Source organism: Homo sapiens, chromosome 7, assembly GCF_000001405.40.
Source record: "Homo sapiens chromosome 7, GRCh38.p14 Primary Assembly".
Taxonomy (NCBI): domain Eukaryota; kingdom Metazoa; phylum Chordata; class Mammalia; order Primates; family Hominidae; genus Homo; species Homo sapiens.
Genome location: NC_000007.14, coordinates 4,601,636 through 4,617,244, shown reverse-complemented (window position 1 = coordinate 4,617,244; position 15,609 = coordinate 4,601,636). Strand labels below are relative to the sequence as shown.

General features: G+C 48.5%; 1 annotated feature.

Moving 5' to 3' along the window:
* Nucleotides 12,458-12,959: an enhancer, noted in NCBI's record as "H3K4me1 hESC enhancer chr7:4643917-4644418 (GRCh37/hg19 assembly coordinates)". NCBI's record gives its function as "activates a minimal SCP1, AML or CMV promoter by ChIP-STARR-seq in naive and primed H9 embryonic stem cells {active_cell/tissue: H9 hESC(naive and primed)}" and the evidence as "EXISTENCE:reporter gene assay evidence [ECO:0000049][PMID:30033119]".

Genomic DNA, 15,609 nt, shown 5'->3' with positions numbered 1-15,609 from the left:
CCTCCCAAAGTGATGGGATTACAGGCGTGAGCCACCACGCCCAGCGTTACTATTTTTATTTTATTTTTTACTTTAGCTGTTGTGGTAAGTGTCTCATGATATCTCATTGTGGTTTTAATGGGCATCTCTCCAGTAGGTAATGATATTGAACATCTTTTCATGTGTTTATTTTCCATCTGTGTATCTTTTTCAGTGAAATGTTTCTTCTTTTTTTTTTTTTTTTGAGACAGAGTCTCGCTCTGTAGCCCAGGCTGGAGTACAATGGCACTATCTTGGCTTGCTGCAACCTCCACCTCCTGGGTTCAAGCGATTCTCCTGCCTCAGCCTCCCAAGTAGCTGGGATTACAGGGACCCGCCATCAGGCCTGGCTAATTTTTGCATTTTTGTAGAGGTGGGGTTTTGCCATGTTGGCCAGGCTGGTCTTGAACTCCTGACTTCAGGTGATCCACCCGCCTCGGCCTGCCAAAGTGCTGGGATTACAGGCGTGAGCCACTGCACCCAGCCATGCCTCTTCATTTCTTTTGCCCATTTTCTAATTAGATTGTTTTTTACTGTTGATTTTTGAAGAGTTCCTTTTTAAAAAATATACTCCAAATACCAGTCCTTTGGGGTGCATGTGGTTTGCAAACATTTTCTGCCAGTGTGTAGCTTGTCTTTTCATCCTCTTAAACAGGGTCTTTTTTTTTTGAAAATCAAGATGCGATTTACATACCATAAATTCACCCTTTTAAAGTGTACAATTCAGTAGTTTTTAGTATATTTACAAAATTGTGCTGTCACTGCTGTTTAATTCCAGGACATTTTTTCTTATTCTAAAAATAACGCCACGCCCATGAGCAATCACTTCCCATTCTTCCCTTCCCTCCAGCCCCTATAATCTACTTTTTGTCTCTATGGATTTGCCTGTTCAGCCTATTTCCCATAAGTGGAATTGTACAATAGTGGCCTTTTGTGTCTGGCATCATTCATTTAGCATGACGTTTTCGAGTTTGATCTGTGCCGTAGCATGTATCAGAATTTCATTCCCTTTTATGACTGAACAACCTTCCATTGTATGGAATACCACCACTTATTTGTCTATCCATTGGTATCAGTTGGACTGTGTTTCCCACCAAAGCAAACTTTGCAGTCCTAGCCCCCAGAATCTGTGATTGGGACCTTATTTGCAAATGGAGTTGTTGCAGTTGTCATTGGTTAAGATGAAGTCCCCCTAGAGGGAGGTGAACCTTTAATCCATCATGACTGATGTCCATACAAGATGTACAGAGAAAAGACAAGAGGCCATGTGATAAGAGAGGCAGAGGTTGGAGTCATGCAGCCACGCGCCAAGGCCAGGAAGGTCCTCTCCTACAGGGTCAGGGTGAGCAGGGCCCTGCCAACACCTTGGTTTCAGGCGTCTAGCCTCTGGAACTGTGAAGCAATGCATCTCTATTGTTTTTTTTTTTTTTTGAGACAAAGTCTCATTCTGTTGCCCAGGCTGGAGTGCAGTGGTGTGATTATAGCTTACTGCAGCCTCCACCTCCTGGGCTCAAGCGGTCCTCCATCTCAGCCACCTGACTAGTTGCCACCACAGGCATGTGCCACCATGCCCAGCTAATTACAATTTTTTTTTTTTCTGTAGAGACAGGGTCTTGTTATGCTGCCTAGGCTGCTCTCGAACTCCTGGCCTCAAGCGATCCTCCTGGTGGAGCCCTCAACCAAGTGTTGGGGTGACAGGTGTGAGCCACCGTGCCCAGTTGCATTTAGTAATAATAATATTATTACTTTTATTATTTTTGAGACAGAGTCTCGCTCTGTCACCCAGGCTGCAGTGCAGTGGCCCAATTTCAGCTCACTGCAACCTCCGCCTCCCAGATTCAAGCGATTCTCCTGCTTCAGCCTCCCAAGTAGCTGGGACTACAAGTGAGTGCCACCACATCTGGCTAATTTTTGTATTTTCAGTAGACATGGGGTCTCACCATACTGGCCAGGCTGGTCTTAAACTTCTGACCTCAAATGATCCACCCACCTAGGCCTCCCAAAGTGCTGGGATTACAGTTGTGAGCCACCATACCTGGCCTAATATTATTGGACAATTCTCACTCTAGTCCTGAGAGGTTGGCGTTCTTGTGTCCATTGCACAGATGGGACATTTGGAGGGCAGAGAGGGCCAGTGGCCTATCCCAGGGCGCGTGGTTAGTGAGTGGCAGAGCTCCCAGGTCTTTGAGCTCCCAGACCTTCCCAGGTCTTTGAGCTCCCAGAGCTTCCACCTGCTCTACTGCATAGCAGACTTGATTCCAGGAGAAGAAAATCTATCTTCCGCTTCAAACTAAGGGAAGACCACTGGAACTTAGATTAGTTTATTTAAAATCAAGGTTCAGGCTGGCGCAGTGGCTCACGCCTGTAATTCCAACACTTTGGGAGGCCGAGGCGAGTGGATCACCTGAGGTCAGGAGTTCGAGACCATCCTGGCCAACACAGTGAAACGTAGTCTCTACTAAAATGCAAAAATTAGCCGGGTGTGGTGGCAGGCACCTGTAGTCCCAGCCACTCAGAAGCCCGAGGCAGGAGAATCACTTGAACCTGGGAGGTGGAGGTTATAGTGAGACAAGATCATGCCACTATACTCCAGCCTGGGTGACAGAGTGAGACTCTGTCTCAAAAATAAAAAATTAAAATAAAACAAAATCAAGGTTCAGAAACACATGGGTTAAGAAGGTTTTTCTGGTTGGGTGTAGTGGCTCATGTCTGTAATGCCAGAACTTCAGGAAGCCGAGGCGGGTGAATAACGTGAGTCCAGGAGTTTGAGACCCGCCTGGGCAACATGGTGAAACCTGGTCTCTACAAAAAAAAAAAAAAAAAAAAAAAAAAAAAAAAAATTAGCCAGGCGTGGTGGTGCATGCCTGTGGTCCCAGCTACTGGGGCTGGGGGGCTGAGGTGGGAGGATCACTTGAGCCCAGGAGGTCAAGGCTGCAGTGAGCTATGATTGCACCACTGCACTCCAGCCTGGGCCACAAAGCCAGACCCTGTCTCAAAAAAATAAAAAAGAAGGCTATTCTGGGAACAGGCTTGTCTGCTGGTGGGTGCCGTCCTGATGTTGGCCATCCTAGACAGTGCATCTCGAGTTCCAAGCTACGGATGTGGGCATGAGCCCTGGAGTGTGGCCTGTGTCTGTCTGTGAACTGAAATAAAACATTGCAACCCGAGTCATAGCCAATCCTGGAAATGATGATGACTGCTTGCAAACACGTTGCAAGCCTCTTGCTTGTGCTTGCAGAAACTTGATACACAGGCCTGTGTGCGGGAGGCGGGAGGCCCGGGCCATTTGGGTCTCCCGTTTCTGAATCTGAAAAATGCTAGAATCCATTTTCCCCTCGGTTTTAGGTCAGGTTCCCCAGAAGCAAACTCTGTGGTAAGGAATTGTGTGCAAGCCACGTAGGAATGCCGTGGTCCCGGGAGGTCTGGAAGGGAGTAGGAGGAGGGGACCCAGGAGCCAAGCCAGAGTAAGGTCCTTTGGCAAAATCCCCCTGGGGTGGCTTTGGCCCAATCCTGCAGGAAGGCACTGCAGCGTAAGTTATGCCCCAGGGTCTGTCCAGACTCAGGCAAAGGGAGCGGGGCTTTCACTTTCTGGAATCTGCTCGCCATTGGCTAAGAGCTGGCTGGGGGGACAGGAACCCCAGGCACCTCTCAATTTCTGCTTGCATAGGCAGAACAGCTCCACAGGGGCCGAGTGTGAGAGACAAAGCACCCGGGAGCAAGGGGAGGAGGAAAAGAGTCGTGAGATCTGCAGGGAGCTCAGATGGTCTCTGCACAGTCATTCTCACCGGCACTTGTGGACATCGAGTCTACGATAACTTCATAGTCTCTCCTGCCTGTGCTCAGGACTCCTCGATGTCTCCATTTCTGAACTGGTGGGGGGTTGGAGGGCTGCTCTTCCTGCTGGAATCATAAATCAACATTGTCAGGTGCCAACGTGATGATAAATTGTTGGATGATATGCTGATAACGCATAGCGTTTTCATTTCCTCGGAAAAACAAGGCCAAAGACACTTTCGAATTGCAAATGCCAGCCCCGTTACAGGGGCGGCTGCAAGGAAGGATTTCTGGTCAGCAGATATGGGAAGTCGGCCCGAGAACACAGGCAAAGGAAGTGGGTTTCCTCTGCAGGAATGCAAAGTCACCAACTCCAGGCAGTCCTGGAATGAACCTTACACCTAGAGGCGGCGATGCTTGAATGCGGTGGTTTTCTCTCCCTGCCCTCTTCCTTCTTTCTGTCTAACACACACATATGTAATTGTCTTTTGAGATGTGTATTGGAGTATAGCATGTAGACAGAAAAACGTGCAAAGCAGGACTGTGAAAGGATGAAAGTGAACTCACCCACGTGCCTACCGCTCAGGTCAAGAAACAGAACCTCCCTAGCCCCTTAGAACAGCAGTCCCTAAGCTTTTTGGAACCAGGGACCAGTTTCGTGGAAGATAATTTCTCCGTGGGCCCGGGTCGGGGAGATGGTTTTGAGATGATTCAAGCAGATTACATTTATTGTGCATTATATTTCTATTATTATTACATTATAACATAGAATGAAATAATTCTACAACTTTCATAATGTAGAATCAGTGGGAACCCTGAGCCTGTTTTCCTGCAACTAGAGGGTCCTGTCTGGGGGCGATGAGAGACAGTGGCAGATCATCAGGCATTAGATTCTCATAAGGAGCAAACAACCTAGATCCCTCGCATGCGCGGTTCACAATAGGGTTTGCGCAGTTGATCTGACAGGAGACGGAGCTCAGGCGGTAATGCGAGCGATGGGGAGTGGCTGTAAATACAGATGAAACTTCACCTTCCTGCCCGCTGCTCACTTCCTGCTGAACCTCCCGGTTCCTAACAGGCCAAGAAGTGGTACTGGTACCAGGAGTTGCCTTAGCACGTTCCCTTGTGTCTATTTTTTTTTTTTTGAGATGGAGTCTCACTCTATTGCCCAGTCTGGAGTGCCGTGGTATGATCTTGGCTCACTGCAGCCTCCACTTCCTGGGTTCAAGCGATTCTCTTGCCTCAGCCTCCTGCGTAGCTGGGATTACAGGCGTGTGTTACGATGCCCGGCTAATTTTTTTTTTTTTTTAATTTTTAGTAGAGACGGGGTTTTGCCACGTTGGCCAGGCTGGTCTCGAACTCCTGACTTGCCTCAACCTCTCAAAGTGCTGGGATTACAGGTGTGAGCCCCTGTGCCTGGCCCCTTGTGTCTCTTTTCAGCCACTACCCATTTACCTCTAAGGGAAACTGCTATCGCAACATCAAACACCAGAGATTAGCTTTGCCTGCTGTTTACGCTTTATGGAAACAAAATCACATGGGATGTTCTCTTCACTGACTTAAGGTGACTTTTATGAGATTTGTCCTCATATATTACTATGCATAGTAGCAGTTGGTGCGTTTGCACAGCGGAATATATTTCCCATGTGAATATAGCACAAGTTACCCTTTCCGTTACTGATGGACAGTGGAGCTCATTGCAGTGTGGGCCATTGCAGACAGTGTGCCTATGAATGGTCTGGAACATGTTTTGGGTACACCCGGTATGGGTGCTGCTGGATATACACCGAGTGGAATTGCTGGGTCATGAATGTTTGTATGTTCAACTTGATTAAGGGCTGCCGAAAAGTTCCGAATGGAGGTGTACCTACTTAACCTCTACCAGCAATGTAGGGACCCCGGTTCCTCTCCAACCTCACCAATGCTTGCTATTTGGAACTTCCATTTTTATAACTCAAAAGAGTAGGATCATTAATTTCAATACTCCCCACCTTCAGGGCTGCTGCTACGTTTACAAATTTTTTATTTTTTTTGAGACAGGGTCTTGCTCTGTTGTCCAGGCTGTAGTGCAGTGGCGTGATCATAGCTTACTGCAGCCTCCACCTCCTAGACTCAAGTGATTCTCCTGCCTCAGCCTTTCAAGTAGCAGGGACCACAGGTATGCAATACCATGCCTGGCTAATTTTTAAAATTTTTTTAGAGACAGGGTCTTACTATGTTGCCCAGGCTGGTCTTGAACTCCTGAGCTGAAGTGATCTTCCTTCCTCGTACTCCCAAAGTGCTGGGATTACAGGTGTGAGCCACCACACCTGGCCTGCTGTTAATTCTTGTAACACCTTTGTGTGGATTAAAGAAGGACAGATTATTCCAACTGCTGAACATTTTTGTGACGTGCCATGGAGCATGACATGTGACTGCCCTCTGCTGGAAAACTGGGGAAATTCTTAGTACAAATCTTAGATGCCTAAGAGGACACCTCTTAGGTGTGGTGCCCTTGGGCAGTGCACACTCTAGACGACCATGCATGGTGACCCTGGCTGTTCTCTACTCTTGTCAACACATACTGGAGGTAACGGCGAGGACTGCGGTGGAGGAAGCCCAGTGAAAGTTCACAAAATGGTGGTCCAGGGTTGAATCTGGCCTGCAGTTATGTTTTATTTGACTCACAGTGTTAACAAAAAATATTGGGCCAACATTTTAAAACTAGAGGATGGTGGTTGCCTAAAAACACAGAAAAATTGGCCGGGTGCCGTGGCTCACTCCTGTAATCCCAGCACTTTGGGAGGCCGAGGCGGGCAGATCACCAGAGGTCAGGAGTTCGAGACCTACCTCAACATGGAGAAACACCGTCTCTACTAAAAATACAAAATTAGCCGGGCGTGGTGGTGCATGCCTGTAATCCCAGCTACTCAGGAGGCTGAGGCAGGAGAATTGCTTGAACCTGGGAGGTGGAGGTTGCAGTGAGCCGAGACCGTGTCATTGGACTCCAGCCTGGGCAACAAGTAAGAAATTCCATCTCATAAAAAAAAAAGAAAAAAAAAAAAAAGAAAAATCAGAAAAACCAGAGGCAGAACTAAAGAAATTGGGCCGCCATCCCCAAATTTATATATGTATATAAAATATATATTTTATAATTTTAATTTTTTGAGACAGGGTCTTGCTCTGTCAGCCTGGAGTGTGGTGGCACGATCAGAGCTCACTGCAGCCTCAGCCTCCTGGGCTCAAGTGATTCTCCCACCTCAGCCTCCCAAGTGGCTGGGACTACAGGTGCACACCACCACACCCAGCTAATTCTTCTTCTTCTTCTTCCTTTTTTTTTTTTGAGACAGAGTCTCACTCTGTTACCCAGGCTGGAGTGCAGTGGTGCAATCTGGGCTCACTGCAACCTCTACTCCCGGGTTCAAGTGATTCTCGTGCCTCAGCCTCCCAAGTAGCTGGAGTTACAGGAGTGTACCACCATACCCAGCTAATTTTTGTATTTTTAGCAGAGACGAGATTTTGGCATGTTGCTCAGGCTGGTCTCAAACTCCTGGCCTCAAGTGACCTGCCTGCCTCAGCCTCCCAAAGTGCTGCAATTATAGGTGTGAACCACCGCGCCTGGCCGACTGGCTAATTACAAAATTATTTTTGGTAGAGACAGGATCTCATTATGTTGCCAGGCTGGTCTCAAACTCCTGACCTCAAGTGATCCTCCTGCCTCAGCCTCCCAAAGTGTTGGGATTAGAGGCATGAACCACCGCGCCCGGCCCCCATATTAAAATACAGAGCCTGATCTACACATGTGTCCCCAGTTAGCCTCAGTCTCCACCACTCTCTATTGTCTTCCATCCCCAATGCCTCTGTCAAGAACAATAGCAAAAGTACAACATGAGGACAGTGCAGCACCAGCCCCCCTGCCCCCACCCTGGCCCCGCCACCAGTCTCTTAACCTGTTGGTGGTACTGGCCTTGCGCTATAGGCATGAACATTTGTGATCGCCGGTCTTGACATTGATCAGGGACAAAAACAAAAACAAAACCAAAAAACCCCCCAAAAAACAAAAAAAACAAAAACTCAAAGCGATCATTCAATTGCAAAATAAAGTAACTCCTGCCTGTTTTGTGCTGGAGTGAGACATTCAGCTGATGAGATTCTGCGGAAGCGCAGCAGTGAAACAGCATGGAAGAACCGACATGACACATTCTGTTTTTATTTAAGGGACCTTTACCCATCCTTGCATGTAGGCTAGGATAATTTCATTTCTACATTTATTTATATTTATTATTATTAGTTTTTGAGACAGAGCCTTGCTCTGTGGCCCAGGCTGGAGTGCGGTGGTGCCACCATGGCTCACTGCAGCCTCCACCTCCCCGGCTCAAACCATCCTTCTGCCTTAGCCTCCCAAGTAGCTGGGACTATAGGTACGTACCAGCAGGTCTGGCTATTTTTTTTTTTTTTTTTACCATTTTATTTTATTTTATTTATTTTAATATTATTATTATACTTTAAGTTTTAGGGTACATGTGCACAACGTGCAGGTTTGTTACATATGTATACATGTGCCATGTTGGTGTGCTGCACCCATTAACGCGTCATTTAGCATTAGGTGTATCTCCCAATGCTATCCCTCCCCCCACCCCCCACCCCACAACAGTCCCTGGTGTCTGATGTTCCCCTTCCTGTGTCCATGTCTCTGGCTAATTTTTGTAATTTTTGTAGAGATGGGGTCTCATTATGTTGCCCAGGCTGTCCTCCAACTCCTGACCTCAAGAAATCCTCCCTCCTCAGCCTCTCAAAGTGTTGGGATTATAGGTGTGAGCCACCATGCTTGGCCATTTATCATTATCGTTAAATGAGAATGATTAGGCTGGGCGTGGTGGCTCACGTCGGTAATCACTTTGGGAGGCCGAGGTGGGTGGATCACCTGAGCTCGGGAGTTCAAGACCAGCCTGACTAACATAACAAAACCCTGTCTCTACTAAAAATACAAAAATTAGCTGGGCGTGGAGGTGTGTGCTTGTAGTCCCAGCTGCTGGTGAGGCTGAGGCAGCAGAATCGCTTGAACCCAGGAGGCGGAGGTTGCAGTGAGCGAGCTGAGATCAAGCTACTGCACTCCAGCCTGGGCGACAGAGTGAGAGTCCATCTCAAAAAAAAAGAAAGAAAGAAAAAAAAGAGAATGATCCTATTAATAATAATACCACCGTATACTGGGCACTTACTATATGTCTGGTGCTGTGTCATCTAATTTAATCTTCACAATGACTATCTGCCCTAATGTAGACACTATGATTAGCTCCAATTATAGAAGTATTTTTACAAGGAAGCAAATGGAAGGCTAAAGAGGTTGCAGTTTGTCCAAGATCACACTAATTGCAGAGCTCTCTTGGGTCTCTCTTCTCCTCCGCCCAGATATCATCTGGTTTAGTATCAGAACCCCTTCACGGGTAGCACCAGGTACAATCTAGATTCAACACCTGTGCTTTGTAATATCCCATGTGTCAGTGCAATACCGCTAAACGCATAACATCTTTCTAGGAAATGTGGGTCTTTTTGGTCTTTGATGTTACATGCTTTCAGACCCTAAAGGCTGAAAACCAATAAAGTCCTACTCCATCATCTTCCAGGGGTCTCCAGAGTGACCTGATGTTTTCACAAAGTCATACGGTGGCCCATCTGCGGCAGGTTGGAAGTCTGTGTTGTGGATTTTCTCCATCCACCGCTGGGTCTTAGAGTTCCCGGGTCTGGGAGGTGTCAGATCTCATTGCTGTTGAGAAAGGTTGAGCCAGTTTACATGTCGACTAGCAGAATGCAGCTGCCTCCTCTCCTGGAGAGACCTTTCTCAAATTGGCAGGTGTCAGCAGCCCTGATTCATGCCTGGGGTTTCGAAGTCTTCCTCCTGCTTGCAGGGAGCTCGGCTCATCTTTGATTCCAGCCACGGCACAGAGGCCGTGGTTCCTGCACTCTTGCTGGAATGGGTTCAGTCTTGCGTCGCTGAGAGGGCTTAACCAGGCTATTGTGGGATAACCAGCCCTGCACGACGCCCGCACAGGGGCGTGGTGAGGATCCAACGTGATGTGCGTATGAAAGTGTTTAGAGAAAGAGAAAATGCTGGGCACACACAGAGCATGATGATGACAGCGGAGGAGAAGCAAGAGGAGGAGGCGGACGGGAGGGCTTTTTATTTCTTCCTCTGGACTTGGTCCTAGGGTGGAAGCTTCCCTGCTTCTCATGCCGCTGTGACCTTGCGGGGGCTCCTCGGTCACGCGCGTGCTGGATCAGAGAGTGGCTCAGTTTCCTGACATTTCAGCTCCGCACTTTTATTTGCACTGGATCTTTCCATTGAAGACATCTGCCAGCGAGATTAAATAGAGCTTTTCTTGGGCCACGGAAAGGTGATTATTTGCATTACGTGGGAGTAGTCATCCATGAGAATGAAAAATTTCCCTCTTCAGAAGAAAATAAAGAGAGGCTGGCTGGATTCTGTCAACGCCATGACTCACGGGGAGGGTGACGCCTTTGGAAGGAAGGGGGTCTGCGGTGGTGCAGGGGTGACTATGGACATGAAATCTTCCCAGAGCGTGGAAGTCGAAACAGGTTGGATGTGTTCATTCACCTATTTCCTCATTAAACAACCATTTATGAAATACACACCTTGGCCTGTGCATTGACCCAGGCCTCTAGGGTCCAACGTGTAGGCAGAAATGGATACCCACATGGCTGATGATGTCCTGTGGGGGCACAGATGTGGGATAACTCAATGCTGCAGGGGAGCTGGGTGCCAGGGAATGTCCTGGAGACGACGTAACACTTGCACTAGGTCTTAAAGGGTGCGTATGAATTTTCCAGTTAGACAAAGAAGGAATAGGCATTGATGATGATGGAACGGTACATGCAAAGGCTCAGAGGCTGGAAACCGTAGGAGGTTTGGGGGCATGAGGGATGGCCTGGAGTGGGTGGAGCACCAGGCACTTGGGGAACAGGAGCTGAAATCAGGCTGTGAGAGCCTCTGACACTGCAGGGGACCTTATGGCTGCTTTCTTTATATATATATACATATTTTTTCGAGACAGAGTTTCACTCTTGTTGCCCAGGCTGGAGTGCAATGGTGCGCTCTCAGCTCACTGAAACCTCCGCCTCCCAGATTCAAGCGATTCTCCTGCCTCAGCCTCCCGAGTAGCTGGGATTACAGGCATGTGCCACCATGCCTGGCTAATTTTGTATTTTTAGTAGGGACGGGGTTTCTCTATGTTGGTCAGGTTGGTCTCGAACTCCCGACCTCAGGTGATCCACCTGCCTCGGCCTTCCAAAGTGCTGGGATTACAGGCGTGAGCCACCCACCGGCCTCTTTATATTTTCATTAAAAAGGGGCTATCTATCTCCAGGAGGGGAAAAATACCATTAAAGGGGGACTCTCTTGTCCTTTCAGAAGGAGGTTGGCTCTTCTGATTGACAGGCTGGGCTAAAACTCACTGCTAACACGCGTGTCTTCCTCCGTGGGACCTGTTTTCCTACTGCCAGAGGCATCCCCACATGCTCAGAGTCACAGCACACATGCTTGCCCTGTGTCCTGCAGTCCCATGAGCCTCCCCATGGCCAGCTGGGAGGCATTGGACACCCACACACACACAGCAGACAAACTCCTCAGATGTGGACTTGAAGGATCGTGGATCCCTGCATGACCGAGTGGAGCAGAGCACCCCCACCTTGGCCTGTTCCGTGAGTGAGAAGTACATTTTTATTTTATTTAAAATTTTAGAGACAGGGTCCCACTGTTGCCAAGGCTAGAGTACAGTGGTGTGATCATGGCTCACTGTAGCCTTGACCTGGCTCAAGCAATCCTCCTGCCTCAGCCTCTTGGGTAGCTGGGGCTACAGACACATGCCACCATGCCTGGCTAAATTTTTATTTTTTTGTGTGTAGAGATGGGATCTTGCTGTATTGCCCAGGCTGGTCTCGAACTCCTGGCTTCAAGTGATCTTCCCACCTTGGCCTCCCAAAGTGCTGGGATGGCAAACCATGAAAAACCATGCCTGGCATTTAAGCTGTTGAGTGTTTGAGGCTTGTTTGTTACAATGGCTTGCCTTACTGATACACCAGGTAAGAAAGGGAAGGTAGATGGAGAGGAGCAGAGCTGGCAAACGAAGACAGCCTCTCTTTGAGGCATATGCAGCATAGCTGGAAATCCACAGACACAACCCTGAAATGATGTATGGCGCCCCAAAGCAGGACACCCTAGCAGAGGCACCAGTTGGAACCCAGAGGGAGCAGGCATTTTGGGCAGGATTCCTAGTTGCAAACCACACAGGCCACTCTGGATAGAAAGGAATTTAGGTAGCTTAGTGACGTGTTGGGTGGGAAGGGGTTGGGACAGAGATCAGAGATCAGAAATGGAGGCCATGGGCTGGGCACAGCGGCTCACGCCTGTAACCCCAGCACTTCGGGAGGCTGAGGTGGGAGAATTGATTGAGCCTAGGAGTTCAAGACCAGCCTGGGTAACATAGTGAGACCCCATTTCTACACAAAATTTAAAGAAATTAGCTGGGCATGGTAGCGTGGGCCTGTAGTCCCAGCTGCGCGGGAGGTTGAGGCAGGAGAATCAGCTGAGCCAGTGTAACACCCGTGTGACCCCACAGGACCCCATGGAGACGCTCCTCCCACCACTTTCTCTCCACGGCCCCCCACGTGGGGTATGCCCCACCAGGGCTCTGTTATGGCTGCCTCTCAGTCCCATATCGCTTTCCATAGGGTGGTGTCCTTCCTCAGGTGCTCTCGTTTGGGTGGGGGCCTTGTGGAGATGCATCTGATGGGCGGCACCTGTGCGAGGTGCCGGCTCTCGAGGGTGTCTGGGAGGCTGAGTCCTGGCTTCCAAGGGGAGAATTCCTTGCAGTTGTGGGAAGGTGTTTTGAAGGCCCTGCATGGCAATGTCCAGGACAAATGATCACGACTTGAGGGTTTATTCCTCCTAGGGCACAGAGCAAGCTAGGGCGAGTGAGAAGCTTCTCGGGGAAGCTGTGGCATTTGACTTGGGGCTTGAGAAGTGAGTAGAGTTTTGAACAATGGAGAAGAGAAGCAATGCGGGGGGTCTCAGGCTGAGGAGCCTGCAGGGAAAAGGCAAGGCAGGGTTTGGTTCAGAGGGTGGTGGTTGTGTGCGGGGGTGTGAGAGTGATGTATGCTTATGTGTGTGTGTGATTGTGTATGTGTATGTATTTCTGCATGCTTATGTGTGTGGTATGTGTGTACCTGTGTGTGTGGTGTATGTGTGTTATGTGTTGCATGTGTGTGGTATGTGTGCATGTATGCACATGCAGGCATGTGATATGTGTATGTGTATATATGTACGTGTTGTGTGCATATGTGCATGTGTGCACATGTGTGCTTAGATGTGTAATGTGTGTACGTGCACATGCGTGTTGTGTATATGCACGTGTGTGAGATGTATGTGTGTATTGTGCACACACGTGCTAGTTTGTCATATGTATGTGAGCACACGTGTGTGGTGTGTATATGTGTTTGTGAGTGGTGTGTATGTGAGCACACGTGTGGGGTGTGTATATGTGTGTTTGTGAGTGGTGTGTATGTGAGCACACGTGTGTGGTGTGTATATGTGTTTGTGAGTGGTGTGTATGTGAGCACACGTGTGTGGTGTGTATATGTGTTTGTGAGTTGTGTGTATGTGAGCACACGTGTGTGGTGTGTATATGTGTGTTTGTGAGTGGTGTGTATGTGAGCACGTGTGTGGTATGTGTGTGAGTGGTGTGTATGTGAGCACACGTGTGTGATGTGTATATGTGTTTGTGAGTGGTGTGTATGTGAGCACACGTGTGTGGTATGTGTGTGAGTGGTGTGTATGTGAGCACACGTGTGTGGTGTGTATATGTGTGTTTGTGAGTGGTGTGTATGTGAGCACACGTGTGTGGTGTGTATATGTGTGTTTGTGAGTGGTGTGTATGTGTGCATGTGCTTGTGTGGTATGCATGCATGTGTGCACGTGTATGTGTGGTGTGTGCACATGCATTGTGTGTGTGTGTGTGTGTTGTGCAGTGTGTGAAGGGAGACAAGGCTGGCTGGTGGTTGGGACCTGATCAAGGAGGACTTTGAATTTCAAGCCATGACGTCCGATCTTTGCAGATGTGGGGAGCCCTGGAGTTTTAGGGCAGGCGGTGGACACTGTGGCTTGGGCTGCTAGAAGGTGACTGTGGCCCGGCGGAGGCCGGCCTGGGCATTCCAGGAAGTGGGCCAGGAGACACATCAGGGAGGAGGTGCTGTGCTGACAGGGGGAGCCCCCAACGGCGTGGGACTTGGGAAGCTGACTGGGGGCCCAGGCCTAGCCTGCCTCATGGGGAAGGCTTTGCAGGGAATGCTGGGGCCACACAGGTGCAGGAAGCTGGGTCAGCACGGGGCAGGGGAGTGCTCCGGCTCAGCTGTGCCTCGTATTGGGATCTCGTCTGGGGTATTCTGGGGAGAGCCTAGTACCTGAGATACTTGCTTCCTGAAGCCAAATAAGGCAAGGTGGAGAAGCAAGGGTTGGGTCAGGACCAGAATCTCAGGCCAGGCAACCAGTAGGAAATGAGGACAAGGGACCAGGGAGTGGATACAATGGTCCCTGTGTCTTTCCCAGGGAGTTTGAATGGTTCCCATCAGGAGGGAGAGCAGGTTGGCAGTGTGCATCAAAAACGTCTGCAACTCTAAGCTTTAGGTTAGGAAAATGAAAGGAAAGAAAGAAAGAAAGAAAGAAAGAAGGAAGGAAGGAAGGAAGGAAGGAAGGAAAGAAAGAAAGAAAGAAAGAAAGAAAGAAAGAAAGATAGAAAGAAAGAAAGAAAGAAAGAAAGAAAGAAAGAAAGAAAGAAAGACAGACCACGAAAAACAAATTCTAGCACTGCTTCCAATCCACAGGCTTGGTGTTTTTCAAAGAAGTTTACAGTCAGTGATTTACTACCCTAAGACTTGAAGATAGATGATTTGGGTTTGCACATGCTGACACACACCATATTCTCACTCTCATTTGCAGAAAAGACATGATTTCTTTTTCTGGGATTGCCTTCCATCTCCAGATAAAATCCTGAATGTGTCAAAGGGATCTTAGAAACTGCATAATTTTATCTGCATGCTGAATATTCCGGAAGCTGCAGGGCAGCAAGTTGTGTTGTGGTTGCAGTGAAGAGGTACTCATTCTCAGTGGTTCCCCATGTTACTGGCTGAATTATGTTTTTATCCCATGTTTTTTGACTTGTGAACTTCCATACATTTAATTTTGCATATAAGGCATTTGCAAACAATACATCCACATTTATAAAAGCGAAACAGCTATAAACACATGAGCATGTACAACACAATAAACACACATTCTATCATGTGCTTTTTTTGGGTTTTTTTTGAGATGGAGTCTTGCTCTGTCGCCCAGGCTGGAGTGCAGTGGCACCGTCTCGGCTCACTGCAACCTCCACCTCCTGGCTTCAAGTGATTCTCCTGCCTTAGCCTCCTGAGTAGCTGGGATTACAGACGCCCACCACTACGCTCGGCTCATTTTTATATATTTAGTAGAGGCGGGGTTTTGCCATGTTGGCCAGGCTGGTCTCGAACTCCTGATCTCAAGCGATCCGCCCACCTCGGCCTCCCAATGTGCCGCGACTACAAACACGCTCTACCATGCCTGGCTAATTTTTGTATTTTTAGTAGAGATGCGGTTTCACGACGTTGGTCAGGCTGGTCTTGAACTCCTGACCTCAGGTGATCCACCCACCTTAGCCTCCCAAAGTCCTGGGATTACAGGCGTCAGCCACTGCGCCCTCCCGGTGGTAGTTTTTATTCGTATCAATTTAAAAGATACAGTGCAGTTTT